The 20697-nt window shown below is 37.5% G+C and overlaps 1 protein-coding gene across 8 annotated transcripts in view; it reads left to right on the top strand.

The window, feature by feature from the left end:
• The window catches only part of ITPR2 (inositol 1,4,5-trisphosphate receptor type 2), a 497843-nt gene that overhangs the window by 5016 nt on the left and 472130 nt on the right, over positions 1 to 20697 (top strand). The window contains exon 2 of one of the 8 annotated variants that reach the window (XM_047428801.1): positions 9674 to 9735. The exons of the other annotated variants lie outside the window; for them this stretch is intronic. Coding sequence (XP_047284757.1) covers positions 9710 to 9735 — 26 coding nt within the window. The 5' untranslated portion in view covers positions 9674 to 9709. The remainder of the gene's footprint in view (positions 1 to 9673; positions 9736 to 20697) is intronic. 8 annotated transcript variants of the gene reach the window in all.

Here is a 20697-nt window from a genome sequence, read left to right as displayed (position 1 = left end):
TAGTTGGAGGTCTGTTGCTCCAGGTCTGCTGCTAATTAGCCATATGGCCTTGTTCCTATCGTTTATTCTTTTTTCATGTCAGTATGTCTTCCTGAAAACTAAGAAGGAGAGAAGATGCTGTGGCCCATCCCCCTGGGGGTATTATAAAAACAAGTGATAGAGACAGAAAGAAAAGATTTCTTTTTTAGAAAATTGCTAGGAAAATCTACATTATGCTTATATTTTTGCATGTCAAATTGCACATTTTCTTCAAAGGCGTACGAATTGTTAAAGTGAATCAGATTGGAGACATTGACACTGTATATATTTAGTGACAATTTATTCCACTGTCATATTAAAAACGCAACGGGGGAGCTAAAAATTAGACTAAAAGTTTTTGATTTCCATTTTAGCTCTTCAGCCATGCATGATGGCTAGTAGCATGATGTTTTTTCAAAGTCAGCTTAGCAAGGTGTTTAATGAGAACTGAGTTTACACAGTATTTCAAGATAATGAATAGACATTTATTTGCAAATAAATCTTGTTTGATTTCAATGTTTAGCATGTAAATAAGTTTTGGATGATATACATTGTTATTGTGTAGTTGCTGGGAATTTCTGCCATAAGGTAATGAATTTTTCAGCTGGAAAAGTCATGGAGTTTCACTATATTTGAGTTTACCGGACCTCTCTTGGAGGCCCCTCTGACTGGAGATGTGGGAGGATTTTCTTAGGCTTAGTGGCCCAGCTTCTCAGGTTGATTTATCAGTCTGTTTGTGCAAAATTTGAATGCCCTAGTTGCAAAGATTGGCATTTCTCCTTTTTTTCCCCATTATCCTTTACCTGTATTTACTAGATGTTTCTGAATCTTGAATTGTTGCAAGCCGAGTTACAGTTATTGTTCTTTTCTCCGAGTTTATTGTTCTTTTCTCCGTGTAAGTGCAAAGGGGCCTGCTTTGTATTTCCTAATTTAAATTTTCATCTAAAGAATCAATTTAAGAAATACTTGTATTGACTTATGGACAATTGCTTTAAATCCTATTGGACGAAGATGGTGAATCTATTTTAAATAAACTATTTTTATTTTCTACTGGCATGTCTTAAGGTTATAGTTTTTGTGTCTCTTTTAAAGGTGAAGGAGGGAGTCTTGGGATGTGCTGTCCACTTTCAAATGTAGTGTTGATTGTCCCTTTCTCCTCCTTCCATTTTTTCTATACTAGGATTTGTCTTTCTTGTTGCTGCCACATCTGATGACAACAGATATTCACATTTCTGTGTACGTCAACTTGACCAATGGTCAGGTACCACAGAGTAGGGACTGAGCATAGCAGAATTCTTGGGATAGTGGGATAGTAGAATCAGTGTAAGGTGCATCGGTCCTTCCTTGGCTGTTCTCGGCATGGTTGAGGGGTTCGTAAATGAAAAGTGTGTATATGTGTGTGTGTGTGTACATCTGTATATGTATGTTTAAGTGATAGCCACCTTTGCCTTGAGGTTTCTTCTCAGGATCGCCTCAGAACCAACACCTAGAAGTTAAGGTCTCAGTAACTATCAGGTGACTACCAATTGATGCGCTGACTTCAAAGCATCATAAGCATCATCATCATAGTCTCTTAGTCAGAGTGACAGAGGATTGGAGCCCTTATTTTTACTTCCTGCTTGATTTTGGCCAATGCAATTAACTTTTCCATTCCTTTGTTTCCATGTTCAGGGATGGATGTCTGGTAGGGTGATAGGGAGGGGGTCACACAGTTTATAATTCTGACTTAATTCCTTAGAAGAATGAGACTGTGTAACTGTTTACATTTTACTATTCCCAATTATAGTCCCTCAAATTTCTCTTCCTGATCTTTTTTCCTGCTAAACATTTTGATGTTTAAATAGTTGTAGATTTGATTTATCTTATTTAATTATGCTGTTCTTATTACAGTTTTAAAAATATTTTCCTCAATAGGACTTTTTTTTTTTTTCTTGAGGCTTGACCACAGCTCACTGCAACCCTGAACTCCTGGGCTCAAGCGATCCCTCCACCTCAGCCTCCCAAAGTTCTAGGATTACAGGTGTGAGCCATGACACCCAGCCTCAATAGGACTTTTTGATCAGTGGGGAGTTTGTACATGAAGCTTGGAATGGTTATAGTTAACTTTTATTTTTGTATAAGATGTTTAGTATCTTCCAAACAGAACTCTTCCAAATGATGGCTGTTGTTTCCTGCCATAACCAGGCATATAAGCTTAGCTTTGTTTTGGCTAAGGCATATGATAATGTGATAAATATATCTAAAAGTCCATTGGACATTTGCATGTGTGTTCACTGTGGAGGAAGAAGATGACAGAAGCTTGAATACTGAGTTGTTTTGGAAAGTCTAAGTGTTAGAAGTGTGATGTTGTGGAACTTGAAATTAAGTACAAAGAGAGTTTCTGAAGTGGTGAACATAAAGTATATTTTAAGCTGAAAGGGTGACTATTTCTTAAACCTAAAAGTCATTCTATAAATACCATAACAGCTTTTCAGCCCCCTCTGGCAATGAGAGCTCAGTCAAGTAAACAACCACCCCTCCTCAAGAGCCCTGATGGCTTGGCTTTGATAGAAGTCAGAGGTAACTGCTTGGCTTTATTCTAGGTGGAACAGAGCCATTTTCTTTGTGCACAGGTAGCGCTTTTCACAATGACACTTTTTTTTTTGTAACTGTTCTCATGCAGATAGTGTGTAGATAACTTAGAGAATATAGACAGAATACTATAGACTCAAACTTTAAAACTTAAATTCCAGGCAGAGGGTCTTCATATATAAATATAAAAGAATTAACAGTGGACTTTTATGACCGATTTATGCTATAATAACAGTGAATTTTATGGTTTTTAAAATATCAGAACTTGGTAATAGATCACTGCGTTATAACCAGACATGAAATTTTAATGATCGTTCATTTGTTCATTCACTTATTTTTATTTTTTAATTTTCTTCAGAGACAGGGTCTTGCTCTATCGTCCAGGTTGGAGTGCAGTGGCGTGATCTTGGCTCACTGCAACCTCTGCCTCCTGGGTTCAAGCCATTCCTGTGCCTCAATTTTCGGAGTAGCTGGGACTGCAGGTGTGCGCCACCACATTCGGCTAATTTATTGTATTTTTAGTAGAGATAGGGTGTTGCCATGTTGGCCAGGCTGGTCTCAAACTCCTAACCTCAGGTGATCTACCTGCCTTGGCTTCCCAAAGTGTTGGGATTACAGGTGTGAGCCACTGCGCCCAGCCCATTCACTTATTTAATGAATAAAACTGTGCCTTTTGAATGTATTGATGGCATTTTTTGGTGTCATGTTTCTACTCCCATGATGACTTTGATGGGAATGTTTAAAAATATATAGCTTTAGAAAACCACAATTTTAATAAAAAATATTCAAAACAATATATATGGAAAATAGAACAGCATATTAGCAGTGGTTGACCCTTTATGGTGAGTATGTAGATGATTTTAATTTCAATTTTTATTTCTTCTGTATTTCCCAGTTTTATGTATGGTTTTAAATTAAACATCTATTACTTTTATAGCCAGGAAAGTTAACTAAAATGGTTTTTAAGGACTCTTCAATTTCTTATTACTGTTAATCAACAATATTTACATTAAAAAGCATAAATAAATTATTTTCCTAGTTATGGTCAGTGGAGGAAAACCACAAACTGAGAAACTGTTATTACTGAAATAGACAGTCATATAATTACCATGAAATTTTTTTTCCTGGTTATTATTGATATTTTAAGGTGTATTGTGGAAAAAATGTTTGTCTGACCAGTAATGCTGAGCAATTAAGTTGGTTGATTTAACTCATGTAGTAAATGTATACAGATGATAACCAATTTACAATGGTTTGATGGTTTGATTTACAATTTTTCAACTTGATGATGGTGCAAAAGTAATACTCATTCAGTAGAAACCATATTAGAGTACTCAAATAACCATTCTGTTTTCAACTTTCAGTATAGTATTCAATAAATTACATGAGATATTCAACACTTTTATTACAAAATAGGCTTTGTATTTGCCCAGTGTAGGCTAACGTAAGTGTTCTGAGAACACGTAAAGAAGGTTAGGCTAAGCTATGTTGTTTGGTAGGTTAGGTGTATTAAATGAATTTTTGACTAAGAATATTTTCAACTTACAATGGGTTTATTGGGATGTTACCCCATTGTAAGTTGAAGAGTATTGGTAGTCTTTTAATTTAGAAGTCTATTGACACATGTTAAGAAGTATGCATTTTAGCATGGCTGACTTGTTCATTTTAGTAATCTTAGTACTCACTATGAAACTTTTATTGCTTGAGTCAACTTCTATAGTGTTAGTTTTTGAGGAGATTTGTGTGTGTGTGTGTAATTGAAATTTAATCAACTGTTTTTATTGACTATCTTTGAAATAGATGGATTAGCTCTCTCAAAATTCAAATCAATAATGGGTTACCATAGTTTATACCAACCTATCCAAAGATTTCCAACCTTGAATTAAGAATAAGTTAAAATATCAGGTTCTTTAGACAAAACTTTAATCATACAATTGAAAATGTGTCCATATTAAGACACATGTGACTATCCTGGAGATGTGGTTTATGCTGAAGCATGCTTCAGAATGACTCATTAATTCATTTAGTAGATATTTCTTGAGCCCTTTCTGTGTGCCGGGCAATATGTGTAAAGAGATGCCAGATATTAAGCTGTTTTTAATTATTATCTCAATGGATTAATTGTTACTTTAATTGTTATCTGAAAAACTTAATCTTCCTTTGCGAATTTGTAGTATGACTCTTGGCTAGGATCTGTGGGAGACATCAAGGCATTTGACACTTTTTTTGCTCTCAGTGTTGCAAATGTTGCAAGGTCAGGAATGGATACTGTCTTCTTAATCCTGTATGCTCAGCACCTGACAAAATTGCTGGTATATAGTAGGTGTTTAATAAATATTTGTGCAATTATTGTAGTAATTTTTTAGCAATGGAGGTAACACTGGCATTGAGTAACTGCAATGTCAGGCAATTTTTGTTTTTTTCCAAGTGCCCAAAAGATGATTAAAACAGTACCACAGAAAGTCAGAAGAGTCAGATTCTTTCTCTCCTGATTGGGATGACCTGGCGGGAGCTTCAAGGAGGAGGTGGCATTTTCGCTGAACTTGGAAGGATCATTAGAATATTTGTCTCAAATCTATGCCCATGATTGATTATGTATTCTTGGTACTTTTTTCTTTCATTTAAAAAAATTGGTAAAATTTTACTGTCCATTTTAATAGCTCCAAAAAACTAAAGCAAACAATTCAATATTGTTGAGATATGCAAAGACAGAAGAAATAATCTGAGAACCTATTTTATGCTTATTTTCCATAAGGTTTAAGCTTGGTTCATATCCTCTGAGAATAAGATGGCATTCCATCCTTGTCACATGCGGTGAATTTACTGAGACCTGAGATAATGAGGCTAGTACTATAAAGCCCAGTCAGGAAGAAACTTGGCAGTTGCTTGGGAGAAATTTATGCGAAGTACCCAGTGCCTTTGGCTATTATATTTTTACCTCCTTTCCCTGTATTTGTTTCCATCCCTAGTATTTCATAGTAGTTTTTCTTCATGAATCATGAACTTAATTAGAATTTTATAAATGCCTGGAAACATTGGCAATATGGACAACTTTTCATCAGATATTAAGAACTATTAAGAACTATTTTAATGAACTATTAAGAACTATTTTAATAGTTCTTAATATAGCACACACATACACGAGTCTCCCACTTGGTATAGAGTACCCTTCTGGTATATATGGAGTCCATCACGCTCTCTTTTCCTTTTGGTGTTTTAACATGTTAAAAAAGCCATAGATAGATTCCCATGAATGCAGGGAAGACTAAAGGAAGTGAACAATGCATAATCTGAATTCTTAGAATTCAACTATGTGTTAATGAGGTTCTATCTATCACTGAGATGTTTGAGTCACTGTACAAATATCATCATAAAAATTTCTTTGTGCAGATTACAAAATGCTGGACTTTTATTATATATTGATTATCCCAGAGATTTCCTCGACAGAGTCCTAGAGAAAACTTAGATTTTTAGTGAAGTAATGTCTAGTTCTCTAGCTCTCTGAGATCCTGTAATGACTAATTATGAAATAATCACTAAGGAAAAGAGGATTCTTCACATTATGTAGGAAACTTACATGGATCATCAGAACTAAAGATGAGAGCTCAAATGACCAGATAAGCAAACAAAACCTGACAAAAACCCAAAACAAAACTGGTTTAAAAGTTGTTAATTTTCTAATGGCAAATCAAAGTGTATTATTTGTAAAAATTTCAGAGAATAGAGTACTCACCAACTCAAGTTGCAGCTCACATTTAATTAAATTATTTGCAAACCTTGTAGTGAATTGCCCTGGAACTCTTGAAAATAATTTATAGGCATCCCTTGCTATCCTCATTCTTACTATTTGATCTCAAAAGCTCTAAAGATTTGGAAAGCAGGGGATACTTGGATATCACTTTGCCCACATGGATGAAGTTTAAGAATTGAAAAACTGTGTTAGAAGTAACGTTCTTTGTTGGTGAGGAACAGAAACCATCTCTGACCAGCTTACGGAAAGAAGGAAATTTACTGTGAGAATACTGGAGGAGCTCCAAGAAATAAAATGATGAGCTCAACAACTGAGCATCAGGAGAGGCAGGAACCTAGGGCTGCTTTGGGAATCTCAATAGCAGGACCTACTCTTTGGGTCCCATCATTTACATGACTTGAATGGAGCAATTTCTGTATTCAGTGTCCCTCTTGTTAAACTTCAGATTATGAGGTGATGGAATTTGGCCCCCTTGGATCAGGATTAATCATTTATATCCATGACGGCAAGTGGCAATGCCCAGATCTGGCTACCGGGGAAATCACTGTGAGCAGGGCTCCAATTTCTGCCTGCTGCTGGGGCAGTGTGGTATGGGAGAAAGAGAACAAAGATGCTGGGTGTGAGCTGGATTTCACTGCTTAGTAGGCATCTTAATAGTCAGATTTTAGTGCCTTTTAAAGTAAATTGCGATAAAATATACATAAAATTTATCATTTTGACCGTTTAAAAAGATATAATTCAGTGATATTAAGGACATTCACAATGTTGAGCAACCATCACTGCTCTGCATTTCCAGAACTTTTTTTTACTATCCCAGACAGAAACTCTGTATCCTTTAGAAAATAAATTCCCATTCTCTCCTTACCCCAGCCCCTGGTAACCTCTAGTCTACTTTCTGTCTCTATGAATTTGCCTATTCTAGGTACCATGTATAAGTGAAAACATGCAATATTCATCTGTCCTTTTGTGTGTCTGGCTTGTTTTACTTAATGTTTTCAAGGTTCATCCATGTTGCAGCACATGTTAGTACTTCATTCCTGTTTATTGAGAATACTATTCCATTGTAGACATATGATCCATTGTGTTTATCCATTCATCAGTTGATAGGCATTTGGATTGTTTCCACTTTTTGGCTATTATGAATAATGCAGCTGTGAATATTTATGTACAAGATTTTGTATAGATATATATTTTTAAAAATTCTTTTAGGTATATACTTAGCAATGGAATTTCTGGGTCATATGGTAATGCTATGTTTAGCATTTCACCTTGGTCTTTCCTATGTGCTTTACCCTGTGTTACTTTTCCTTCCTCCATATAATCTTATTACATACAATATAATTTATTATCTATTGTATCCATTGTGTATCATCTGTCTACCCCGATAGACTGTAAGTTCTTTGAAGGCAGGGATCTTTTTGTTTTGCCACTGAATATCTCAAAGCGCTTGGCTCCATAAATATTAATAAATATTTGTTGCATTACCATATACGTATTTAATTTTAAAATCTCTAAGTAGCTGTTAACATCAGTTCCTCTCTGGAAAAAAGTCAATATAATGTCTCATATTTCTTAAATACCTTGAGATCCATGGGCAATTCTTTTAAAATGGATGGGAGTTGTCACTGGGTTTATGGTGTCATTAAATCTTGCCATCATCAGTCTTTTAATAATCTGTTGTGTCATCTCTCTCTACACACTCAGATCAATATGTGGTAAAGCTTACACTCTGAAAAAGTAATGTACATGGCCTTTTCTTTTTTTTGAGACTGAGTCTCACTCTGCTGTCACCCAGGCTGGAGTGCAGTGGCATGATCTTGACTCACTGCAACCTCTGCCTCCTGGGTTCAAGCAATTCTCCTGCCTCAGCCTCTGGAGTAGCTGCGACTACAGGCTCGTGCCACCATGCCCAGCTAATTTTTTTGGGTATTTTTAGTAGAGATGGGGTTTTGCCATGTTGTCCAGGCAGGTCTCAACCTACTGGCCTCAAGTGATCCGCCTGCCTCGGCCTCCCAAAGTGCTGGGATTACAGGCGTGAGCTACCACACCTGACTTACATGGCCTTTTTTTTTTAATGATTTGCATGCTATAGCCACATTAAAGAAAGGTTAATATTTCTGTAAATTCAGTTTGTTTTTACGTGTTCAAAGAGTGAATTTGTAAGCATTTTGTGAAGCCATTTCTTAATTTAGGTGGGCCTTTTCTCTTAGTGGGTAGTACATTATACATCCAGGGAGACATTTTATACTTTAACTGCTATTGACAGAAAAATTTATTTAAAAAGAATTTGCTGATAAAAATGCAGCGAGTAGTTGGGGAATTTATAGTACTTTAGAAAGATAGAATAGGGCATATGACACCTTGTAATTTTCTTTTTAAAATTCAAGAATAAGTGTTTGGAAAATGATAAGCATTTAAACACAGATTAAGGAGAACAAATGGGCAGAATTTTGTTCCTCGTTAATTTATATCATATCTATTGACTAAGTCTGTTGTAATGAGCTTTGCCTTAAGCCAATTCCAAAAGATACAATATCCAGCCAATTTCTTCAAGAATTTGAAATTCTCCAGTGTTATTATTGACTTATGCTAGGAATCTTCATTGGTAACAGTGTTACAAATGAGGACTTGTTTGAGAGTTATTTGCATATAGGACAGAGAAATAAAGTGAGAAATATAGATATGTACAAATTACAAAATAACTTGAAAAATAAAACACATATTTTGATTTCTTCTGGTTCTAACATCCTATAATGCTCTTTGCTAGATATTTAAAAATGTAATATCTTTAGAAAAGCAATTTTGAGGTGAAGATACCAAGTATTATCAGAGTTTTGTTTCATTTCTATAACATCCAAACTAATCCAGTTTAAGTATATCATACCAATAAAGATAGTGACTTAAAACAAAATTCTATTACCCAAATCACCAAACACAGTTACATTAGGAATCCAAAGTAAGTTAATGATTTAAGGAACAGTTACTGTGTTTGGCTAAAGTGTTCAAGGTCATTGCTAATATCGGGGACATAACTACTTAAACATTTGCATTTCGGGTAGATCTTTGACTTCAACCATATTTTCAAAGATGATGATTTCAGTTCTGGTTCTTTACATTAGTAGGGAAGGTAAAAAAAAAAAGGAATTTTGTTGTACTCAGAGTCCTATACTTGTGGCTAGGAATGATAAATATTAAGTGACCTTTTAAGTCAAATCAAGATTCACTGTCAGTGAAAATGTTATTAAAAACCTGACTACACTAATCCATGTGCAGGAATATTAATAAATGAGAAAAGGACTTTTATTTACCTTTCTTCCTTTATTTACCTGACAGGTCATGATTTAATAGCTGAGTTCCAATTTAAAACCCATGCGAAGAATGAGCCTCCTTTCCTGGTCAGTACAACGAAGTCATTGTTATCTGTTAGGGGAGAAACCAAATGGATCCTTTCAAAAAGTCTCAGTGGCTAAAGAATCTCTCAGAAGGTCTTTTAAAGTATTATCACATTGCAAATGTAAAAGCACTTTCTTAAGAATTGGAGAATCTGAATGAAGAACTGTTTGGGTAAGTTGTCGCATAGGAGTTCTGAGAGGCAGTAATTTCTTTGGCAATGGATACCCATGAAGTGATTCTATAAACATTTCTAAAGATTAGATCAATATTTGTATTACACATTTTTTTCAAAATGGAAGTTATAATTAATCCAATAAATTCTAAACAATAACCACATTATTTAGTTTTAAACATATTTAATTGAACAAAATGCATGCTAATTTCAGTTTTTGTATCATAGACTACTAGTGATTTCTCCAAATTCATTTTTCCCTTCTTCCATACTAATAGAAGTAATTGAGTTTGTGGGTACCCAGAATAAAGACCACATTTTCTAGCCTCCTTTGTAGCCAGGTGTGACCACAGGCTATACTTTGCAGTCAGGTATTTTAAGGAAGGATTTACTGCCTCCCCCACCCTCCCTCTGCCCCTACCCCATTCAACTGTTTGAAATATGGACATGGGAAAATGGCATCTTGGACCATACAGATGAGGTCAGTCACTAGGGATAATAGAGCATCAAGAAATGAAACAGTTCTCCAGATGTCCTCAAATGCTGGCTCTACTGTATATGGTCTAAAAAGATGAAACTAGGTGGGTAGACAAGAGCCAGATTATGTATTCCCTATTAGGTAATGGGAAGCTATTGAAGGATTTTGAAGCAGGAGAATGAAATAATCAGACTTTGCTCTAGAAAAATCAGTCAGTGGTAAAAAGGAGGAATAGAAAAAGGCTGAAAATGGCAGGCAGAGGAGGAATTGATACACAGCAGCCTGCACCAAACAGCTGTAGTGGGGCTGAAAAGCAGCTTGTCAGCAGAAGCACTGAAGGGACAGTATCTTTGTTTAGTGTTTCACTTTAGGCCTAGAAAAGATGTATGAATTAAGATAGTCACCACTGCTATTGAGGCTTTATTAGTTTTGAAACTGAGCATACAGATTTGAAGTTTCTCTTTTGTTTGCTCACATTTGAATAACATGTCATTACACCCAGCATTATCGCAGGCTTTTCAGGTTTCTGAGATACAAACGTCATCTTGTGTCGTTTCTCCTTCCTCTAGCTCTGTGCTTTGTTCGTACTGCCCTTTTTTTTTTTTTTTTTTTTTTGAAAGAGACTCTCGGTCTGTCGCCCAGGCTGGAGTGCAGTGGCGTGATCTCGGCTCACTGCAACCTCTGCCTCCCGGGTTCAAGTGATTCTCCTGCCTCAGCTTCCCCAGTAGCTGGGACTACAGGTGCATGCCACCATGCCCGGCTAATTTTTTTGTATTTTTTAGTAGAGATGGGGTTTCACCGTGTTAGCCAGGATGGTCTTGATCTCCTGACCTCGTGATCCGCCCACCTTGGCCTCCCAAAGTGACCTTTTTCACCTTTATAGTTACACAGACATTCTGAGTTCCCTTTCGCCACCGAGCCTTTTTATGTGCTTTTCCCTCTGTCTGGTCAATTTCCCATCTTACCTGCACACCTCTCACCTGTTTATTATGTGGATTTCCAGCTTTCTGACTCATCTATAGTGAACTGTTCCTGATCTCCCAGACTATGTGAGGCCCCTTTACTATATACTCAGATAGCACCATATTCTTTTCCTTCACAAAACTTACCGCAATTATAGTTTTAATTTTGCTTCTATTTTTGTGAATATTGGATTATGTTTGTTTCACCCACTATACTTTAAACTCTGTAAGGGCTGTGACTATGTCTGGCTTTGCTAATAATCATGTCCTCAGGTCTTTCACGATGTCTGTCACATAGTAGATACTCAAGAAGTATGTTGAGGGAATGAAAAATGCTTTAGCATATAGTTAACATGGGCTTTTGGTTCCGACAAACCTGGTTTTATATGATGACTCCACTCTCTCATGGTGTGATCTTCAGAAGTTATTTAATACTGAACACCTCAGTTTCCTTATCTGTAAAGCAGGATTATTGTCCAGTTTATAGTATCACCATGACGTTAATGGCAACTAACATATGTAAAACACTTAGTAAGTGTCAGGCTCATAGCATCAGATACCTAAAGTATTAAATACATGGAAGCTATTATTATTTATATTATTAGTAGTATATCTGAAAAATCAGCATGAGTTTCTTTTTGGAAGCTTGGCTAAGTTAATATTACATTGATGTTAAAAAGTTCTGCTGTATTATGTTTATATCATTTTGCAGTACACCTTTTTTTTTTTTTTTTTTTTTTTGAGACGGAGTCTTGCTCTGTCACCCAGGCTGGAGTGCAGTGGCGCGATCTCAGCTCACTGCAAGCTCTGCCTCCTGGGTTCACACCATTCTCCTGCCTCAGCCTCCCGAGTAGCTGGGACTACAGGCGTGTGCCACCACGCCCGGCTAATTTTTTGTATTTTTAGTGGAGGTGGGGTTTCACCGTGTTAGCCAGGATGGTCTCGATCTCCTGACCTCGTGATCCACCTGCCTCAGCCTCCCAAAGTGCTGGGTTTACAGATGTAAGCCACCGCGCCGGCCACAGTACACCTGTTTTTAAGCTGTTATTTGTTTAGTAGGCTGTTCAAAGGCATATTGCCTTATCTATTATTTATTTTGGTTTTGGACTTTTTTTTTCTCCCTTACTTTGATAATGCACGCTACTCAATTGCAGGTAGTTATATTTATCTTTTGTTACTGGTTTGATGCATGCTATCCTTTTGATGTAATGCAAACACCTGAACTACATCAACATTAATAATAACCTTAGAATTGCTTAGCATATATTTACAATATCTTCCTTGACTAGAATTTTCAACTTTTTAAATGTTTTAAAACCAACATGTTATTTTAGTTGCTAATATTTCATCCCGATTAGAACATAGTAATAGAAAGAAACAATTTAGTTTTATTTTTTGAGATTAAAAACAAGTGTTTGTTTTGGAACCATTAGAATATCTTTTGCATGTTTTCATTGGACAGCTGGTGCTACTATCCCTTCTCTGAGATTTCCTTTTTTTTTGAGACTGAGTCTTACCGTGTCACCCAGGCTAGAGTGCAGTGGCACAATCTTGGCTTACTGAAACTTCTGCCTCCCAGGTTCAAGTGATTCTCCTGCCTCAGCCTCCTGAGTAGCTGGGGACTAGAGGCGTGCACCATCATGCCTGGCTAATTTTTGGTGGAGATGAGGTTTCACCATGTTGGCCAGGATGGTCTCAAACTCCTGACCTCAACTGATTCACCCGTCTCGGCCTCCCAGAGTGCTGGGATTACAGGCATGAGCTACTGTGCTTAGAGTCCCATTCTATTGGCTAAGAATTCTGATTAAACTTCTGTGACTGTTAGAGGAATTGGCAAAAACACTTATCTAGTTTGGATAATTAACCATTTTACAGATAAACAAATTTGTTTAGGAAAATCTTGTCAAATTTTAAATAGTAACTAATCAAATTATCATGCTTCTCTTGTAAGTATTAATGATTTTTACACAAGTCATTGGGATTGAAAAGGTATAAAGAGTGTATTTTATTTCTGCTTCTTAGATTTACCTAATGAATAAAAATTATTCAGGCCCTACCCTTCTTTTAATTGTGCCATAAAAGGAGATTTTACTGTTTATTGGAAACTTAGTATATACGTGTATACAAATTATTGGAAAACCTTTTAAAAAATTAAAGCATTAAAAAACACTTTGAAGAATAAACCACTTTATAAACTCTTATTTGAAAATTTCTCTGTGAGAAAATATTTCTTTTTAGCTAACATAAATTCTTGATGGTGAAGTCTGAGCTAGTTTGCTATTTCTAGGGATTCTGGAGTACCTGGTGGTGGAGAAGAGCTTGCAAAGTGCCACACTCCTGGATGTGATAAAGAACTGGTGTATCTATTTTGTAATTTTTAATTTATTTTTATTTTTAATTTTGAAATTCATTCCTTCAACAGAACTGGTGTAACTGAAGACACTAGTTTTATTTCTAAGTTTATTACACTTAGTTTTATTAGTTAGGGTGCTTTTTGGTTGCAAAAGTGAGAAAACCCAACCCAAGCAATTTTCACCCCAAAAGAGAACCTTGTGATTAAGGTAACTGAGAAATCTTGGCATAATCTCCTGGGTTCCTTCATTCTGCGGCGTCATCAGCATTAGTCCTGCCCTTGCGCAGGTGTTTTGTTTATGGCATGGCTGCTATCTGCCGCAGCCTTACCTCTGTCCTCTTACACCAGAGCTGAAAAGAGTGCCTCATTCCCCTAAACTCCAGAAAAAAACACTATGGTTATTACTGTTGCAATGGCTGGCTCGATGATGGTCCAGCTGCTCTGATGGCAAAGGTGACGTCATCACGAGTAGGAGAAGAGCAGTTCTCCATTCTTCATGTAGGGCTCTGTTGCCAGAGGAAGGACAGTGGATGATGGATAGGCGGAGACAACACATGTACACTGTGGCCAAATAAAATCACCCCTTTACCTTCACGAAGCCACATTTCCTAAGTCCTTACAAGCAGGATATAAAAATTGGAAGCCTTTAATGATTTTGGTATTTATACTATTCTTATTTCCAGTTCATTGTTCTGGGGCTTTATTTTAGGACTCTTTCAGGTGGCGTACACTTCCTGATGGAAAGGAGAATTATCCGAGTCCTTTTACATGCCACAAAGCCTCAAAGCTCTGGTCTGGTCTAAACTTCACCTTGACATCAGCTAATGAAAAAAAGGATTCTAAGGAAATCAAGGATGGGGGTAATGGTGAGGGGTCAAAGAGGAAAGGCAGCAGTTTGGTGTGGCTAAATTATACCTCAGTAATGCTGCTACGAGATTTAAAAAGGGAGGGGAGTTTCTGAAACAAACTTCCCAAATAAGCACATTATTCAGAATCACAGAACTTTGATAAATGAATCTCATTCATGAAAGCATATGTTTATGAATATTTCTCACAGTAAATTTGTGAATATTCCCACTTTTAGCTTAGATGCAAGTAGCTTATCTTGTGTCTATGAATAATTGTGGCTCTTTATGTGTACACAACAAGCATGAATTAATAATTATTGTGATAGAGATGAACACAAAGCAAGGTGTTATATAAGCAGGGTTTAAAATTTTCAAAATTTAAAATGTAAAATTTAAAAGTAAGGAATTGTTAATTTAGATCTCAGAAATTAGAAAATCTTACTGCTAAAATGCTTTTTATTAAAAATTCCCCAGTAAAACAAATATAATTTATTTTATGCTACAACTAAATATGAATTATAATTAATAATTAACATAATATTTGAAATGTGATCTTTATGTAACTTTTTTGAAAAGTCAAAGTAAGCTTTTTGCATTCTTAAAAGTCAGTATCTTCAACCATTTTTGTTTCTTCTGTTTTAAGTATTTAAAACTCAGGTCCATGTTGTACTATTGAAGACGTTGGTTGGTTATGACATGACTATCTAGAAAATCAAATTTAATTTCAAAGTTAAAGTCAAATCATTGAATAAATAGATGTTTGATAGTGGCTTTTTAAAGGCAGTGTTGTTTGCAGAGAGAGCTGCTCAAGCCCTTGGGTCTGAATTCTGTTCTGTCCTGAAGAAATTCTGAGAAATTGAAAACATCATTTAACGTCTGAATTAAATTCTTCATCTTTATATTGGGAGTACTGATAACACTTCTCTTGTGTTCCTCAGTGGTCCTTTGGAGTTAAGAAATGACATTATACCTGTTTGAGTATCTGGAAAGCTGTAAGCTGTAAGCTGTACTGGTACAGCTAGACATTTAAAAATTAGTATTAGGTTTTTTTTTTGAGACGGAGTCTCGCTCTGTCGCCCAGGCTGGAGTGCAGTGGTGCAATCTCAGCTCACTGCAAGCTCCGCCTCACGGGTTCACGCCATTCTCCTGCCTCAGCCTCCCGAGTAGCTGGGAGTACAGGCGCCTGCCACCACGCCCGGCTAATTTGTTTGTATTTTTAGTAGAGATGAGGTTTCACTGTGTTAGCCAGGATGGTCTCGATCTCTTGTCCTCGTGATCTGCCCACCTCGGCCTCCCAGAGTGCTTGGGATTACAGGCATGAGCCACCGCATCCGGCCGTATTAGGTTTTTTTTAAAATGGTAAAATCATAAGGTTACCTAAACCTATTTATTAGCAGGAATTGAATCATATGACACATTTTAGTGCCAACGGATTATTTTTCTATATTTCTTTACTTTTTTTTTTTTTTTGAGATGGAGTCTTGCTCTGTTGCCCAGGCTAGAGTGCAGTGGGATGAGCTCGGCTCACTGCAACCTCCGCCTCCCGGGATGAAGTGATTCTCCTGCCTCAGCCTCCCGAGTAGCAGGGACTACAGGTGTGTGCCACCATGCCCAGCTAATTTTTTGTATTTTTAGTAGAGATGGGGATTCGCCATGTTGGCCAGGCTGGTCTTGAACTCCTGGCCTCAAGTGATCTGCCCCTTGGCCTCCCAAAGTGCTGGGATTACAGGTTTGAGCCACCACGCCCGGCCCTAGATTTCTTTTTTTTTTTTTTTTTTTCAGACGGAGTCTTGCTGTGTCGCCCAGGCTGGAGTGCAGTGGTGCGATCTCGGCTCACTGCAAGCTCCGCCTCCGGGGTTCGCGCCATTCTCCTGCCTCAGCCTCCTGAGCAGCTGGGACTACAGGTACCCGCCACCACGCCCGGCTAATTTTTTTTTTTTTTTTTTTTGAGACAGAGTCTCGCTGTCCCCCAGGCTGGAGTGCAGTGGCGTCATCTCGGCTCACTGCAGGCTCTGCCCCCCGGGTTCATGCCATTCTCCTGCCTCACCCTCCCGAGTAGCTGGGAGTACAGGCGCCCGCCAGGGTGGTCTCGATCTCCTGACCTCGTGATCCGCCCGCCTCGGCCTCCCAAAGTGCTGGGATTACAGGCGTGAGCCACCGCGCCCAACCAATTTTTTGTATTTTTTAGTAGAGATGGGGTTTCACCGCGTTAGCCAGGATGGTCTCGATCTCCTGACCTCGTGATCCGCCTGCCTCAGCCTCCCAAAGTGCTGGGATTACAGGCATGAGCCACCAGGCCCTAGGTTTCTATACTTTGAAAAGCAGAACAACGTTTCCTCTTCAGCAGTGATGCAAATAGGAAGAAAATGTTGAATTAGTTTCATATCCGGGTATTTTCTTGATTTTATTTTGTGTTTATTAATGAAGAAACATATTTGGAAAATAGAAATAAGTTCTATACAAAATTAAACATCTTGTTTTAGGCAGTCATTTTAAAACTACACTCCAAATATCTGACTACAATTCAGCAGGTCTGTCATGATATTTGGAGTGTCATTAGAGTATCTTTCTGTTTTTTTTTTTTTTTTTTTTTTTTGTAACTTAAAACACAAGAGAGGAGATGAGACATGGATTTAAACTTCATTGTTTGTTTAAAAAAACAGAACAGACCAGGTGTGGTGGCTCATGCCTGTAATGCCAGCATTTTGGGAGGCTGAGGCAGGAGGATTGCTTGCGCCCAGGAGTTTGAGACCAGCCTGGGAAGCATAGTGAGATCCTGTCTATAAAAATAAATAAATAAATGAAACCAAACAAAAAATGAAACTGGTCTAGCTGTTTCTTCAAACTCCAGCAGCATTCAGGGAAGTTAAAGGGTGAAATACTAAACACAGTTATGTGTCTAAGTCAAGATGTCCATACATGAAAGGAATGTAACATTAAGGGAGAGAAAATAAAACAGTTCCTATCACATCCTTTTTGTTCCTGTTTTTAAATCCCAAGTCCTTTAAAGAAAACTTCTGCTGCTTAGCAAGTCTTTAGGCAACGCTTGGAATGCTCATGCAGAGACTGGCCCAGCGACAGCCCTGGACTGCCAAGTTCTTGGAATCGAGTCAGTCAGGGAAGAGGCTTTTGATTGGTGTGTGAAAGGAAGGGAGGCTGAATGTCTGAGCCGGGCTGTGCTGAGCAGAAGGGAAGTAGGAAAAAGGTTGGGCACAGGGATAATAGTGAGTCCCCACTTTATGGCTTTTTTTACATTTCAAACATTGAATAAAGCAGGTAACTGATGAGATGTCATTTCACTGATTTAACACTGAAATATAGGACACTATGAAAAAAAAGCTATAAGGATTTGAGGCAACCATTCACTGTAGGAACTATCCACAAAATTACTTTATAAGAAAACTAAAAAAGGAATGGGGTAGTTCTACTGGCAATACTAAATCTCCTTCCAGAGTGAACCTTTCAGTCATGTGCCCATCACAGACCTTCTTCAGACTAGACAAAAGCAAGGGCAAAGTGAGATTGCGAAAGTTATTTTATTCTTTTATGATTTAGGATAAGTCTTACTTCCCCTGGCAGGAGATGCCATCATCTTGCGTGGATGTGGCCTTTCAGTGACAAAGCCCTTAGTGTACAATCCAGAAACAACACACAGTTGAAGAATTGTTTGTCTTCTAATGGATGTATTTTTCCATGTAATTTATAATTATGAATGGCATTATGACTTAATGTGCAAAGCTAAGAAAACTGAAAAAAGAAAAGCTGAAATCTGTATTGGAGTGTGGGAAAGAGGGAGTCTATTATTAAATCTACGCTCGTTATTTATAGCATGCCCAACAGGATGAGGTAACTATGGAGGTTTGTCTCTTTCATGATTAGGTTTGGTTGGAAATCATCAGATTAGCAAGGCCATCAAGCCGTAAGAACAGCTGCTAAACTACTCCCCCAACCCCCGCCAAGCCCCTGAAAACCAGTTGAAAATATTTTGGGTAAGTTTTACTCAAAATATCTTTAAAACCTGACATTATAAAAGAGAGTGAGAAAGGCAGATATGGATAGAAGGTCATACACACTTGGGGAGAATTGGTAAAATCTTACCAAAATGTCAAATGAGATTGCCTGTTCCTAGGGAGATATTTCATAGGGAAGAGTGAGGTAGTGGGTACCTGGAGAATATGGATCAGTGAATTATTTGGGCAGGTTAAAAAAATTCATTGTGTACATTTGATTACATAACCTTCAGTTTCATTCCACAGAATAGCTGAAGGTTGAGAAATAAGTTGTTTTGCATTGAAAAGGAATCTACTTTTGGGAGTCTATAAGTAGGAACAGCCAGACCATAAGCCACTGAGTCACATTCTTAGGGGACGTTTAGGGACAAAATAATTATAATGAAATTAGCTGCTGTTTAGACATCTCTGGAAGGCATTTTTTGAATAAGGAAAAGCAGCATCCCTGGTTCCTGTTTTTCCTTTTAACCAGAGAGGAATCTGATCAGTATCAGTTTAGAAGAAAACTATTTTGCAGATGAGAGGAGATGCCTTTCCTTTTGGGTCCAGGAAGTGCAGGGATGAAACATATGCTTCAAAAGGAATCAGAAAGTAGAGACTGAGATGTTCACCACCCACTCAAATGAAGGGCAGAATACAGGTGGTTAAGACTCCAGTTGTTAGCTGTTAGTTTTGTTTTCATAGGAAAAAGGATTATTAAAGGAGTTAACCTCATAACGTATTGTAAAGGCGTGTAGTATTTCTGTGAAATGCCTGTTGAATAGAGTGTGTTCTCTTTGAACACACCTCTGTGTTAGAGTTAAGAGATCAGAATTTCCATAATCATTTTGAGACATATTGATGCCAAGTTATGCTTATGCTTTAAGAGTTTTTCTTAATGTTTTCTGGGGTCATAGGTGCCTTTAAGAGTCTGAGAAAATTTTTTGTGCAGCTTTCCATTACTATGCCTAACCGCAAGATTTTACATATATTTGAGGGTCTTCAAGATTCCTTGAAGGCTATCCCTTGGACCCAAGCTTGGACCCAAGCTTGGGAGTACTTGTGCTAACATGCAATAATGGCTCTAACATTAAAATTTAAGCTGTAGATTTGGTCTGTCATGTACACTGCTTTATCCCCAGTGCCTAGAACAGTGCGTGGTTCATAATCAACACTCAATAAATATTTGTTGAATGAATAAATCAATGACAAAATGAACATTTTATTTTTTAGTATGTGGCAGGTATGGATTTTTTTGGTTACTTGTACTTTATTAGTTCTTTACTAGCTGTGTGACCTTCATGGCTACATTTACTTCTACTGAAAGGAACAGAAACCCAAATAAGCAAAATAGAAGCTGGATGGTTTGCATTGCTGGGAAGTTCAAGAGAGGGATCTGGCTTTAGGTACAACTGGAACCAAGGGCTCCATTGATGACACCAGGATTTTGCCTCTCTTTCTTGGCTTCTCTCCTTCTTGTAGGCTTTGTTCTCTGGCAGATTTTTTCCCAGCCATGGTGGTGAAGAATGGTTTCTAGGCCTACACTTTTCCTCATGATGCTTGATTTTAGAAGGAAGTAGAACCTGTGTGGCATATGTGCCTTTGTAAAAGCACTTTGGCCCTGCTTGGGTTAAGTACTTGTTCTTTGGATCAAGAACTGTGTCTGGGGGTAATGGGAGAGAAAGAAGCCAGCTTAGTTAGGTCTCATACCTTTCCTTGGGTGGTGGAGGACTTCCTTTGGTTCTTCATGCCATGTTTAAGAGTTGTACTTGGGAAAGAGAAATCTCTAAAAGGGAAAGAAAAAGACTAAACTGTAACTGATATCCATGGCACCTTTCGTGAATAGTTTAATTTGGGGTTGATATTATGGTCTTAAGATGTCAGCAGGTCCATTGAATGTCCCTTACCAAGCAACTGGTTTTCTGGGTGGTATCACCAAATGCACTTACATTCTGAAAGTAAAGACTATCTTTCTTGCAGAATTTTTAATAATTAGGAGAATAAATACCAACATATGTACAAAAAAGACAACAACTAGGAGAGCATTATAGGAATCTTGTGAAACCTGCTGTAAATCACGGAGAGCTGCTGTCTTCAGACTGCAGAGGCAGTGATTTGGATTCCCCACATATGACATTGTGTTCCAGCTTTGACTTCTCACC

The sequence above is a fragment of the Homo sapiens genome, chromosome 12 (genome assembly GCF_000001405.40).
Source record: "Homo sapiens chromosome 12, GRCh38.p14 Primary Assembly".
In the NCBI taxonomy this organism is placed as follows: Eukaryota; Metazoa; Chordata; class Mammalia; order Primates; family Hominidae; genus Homo; species Homo sapiens.
This window is presented reverse-complemented; position numbering and strand designations above follow the sequence as displayed.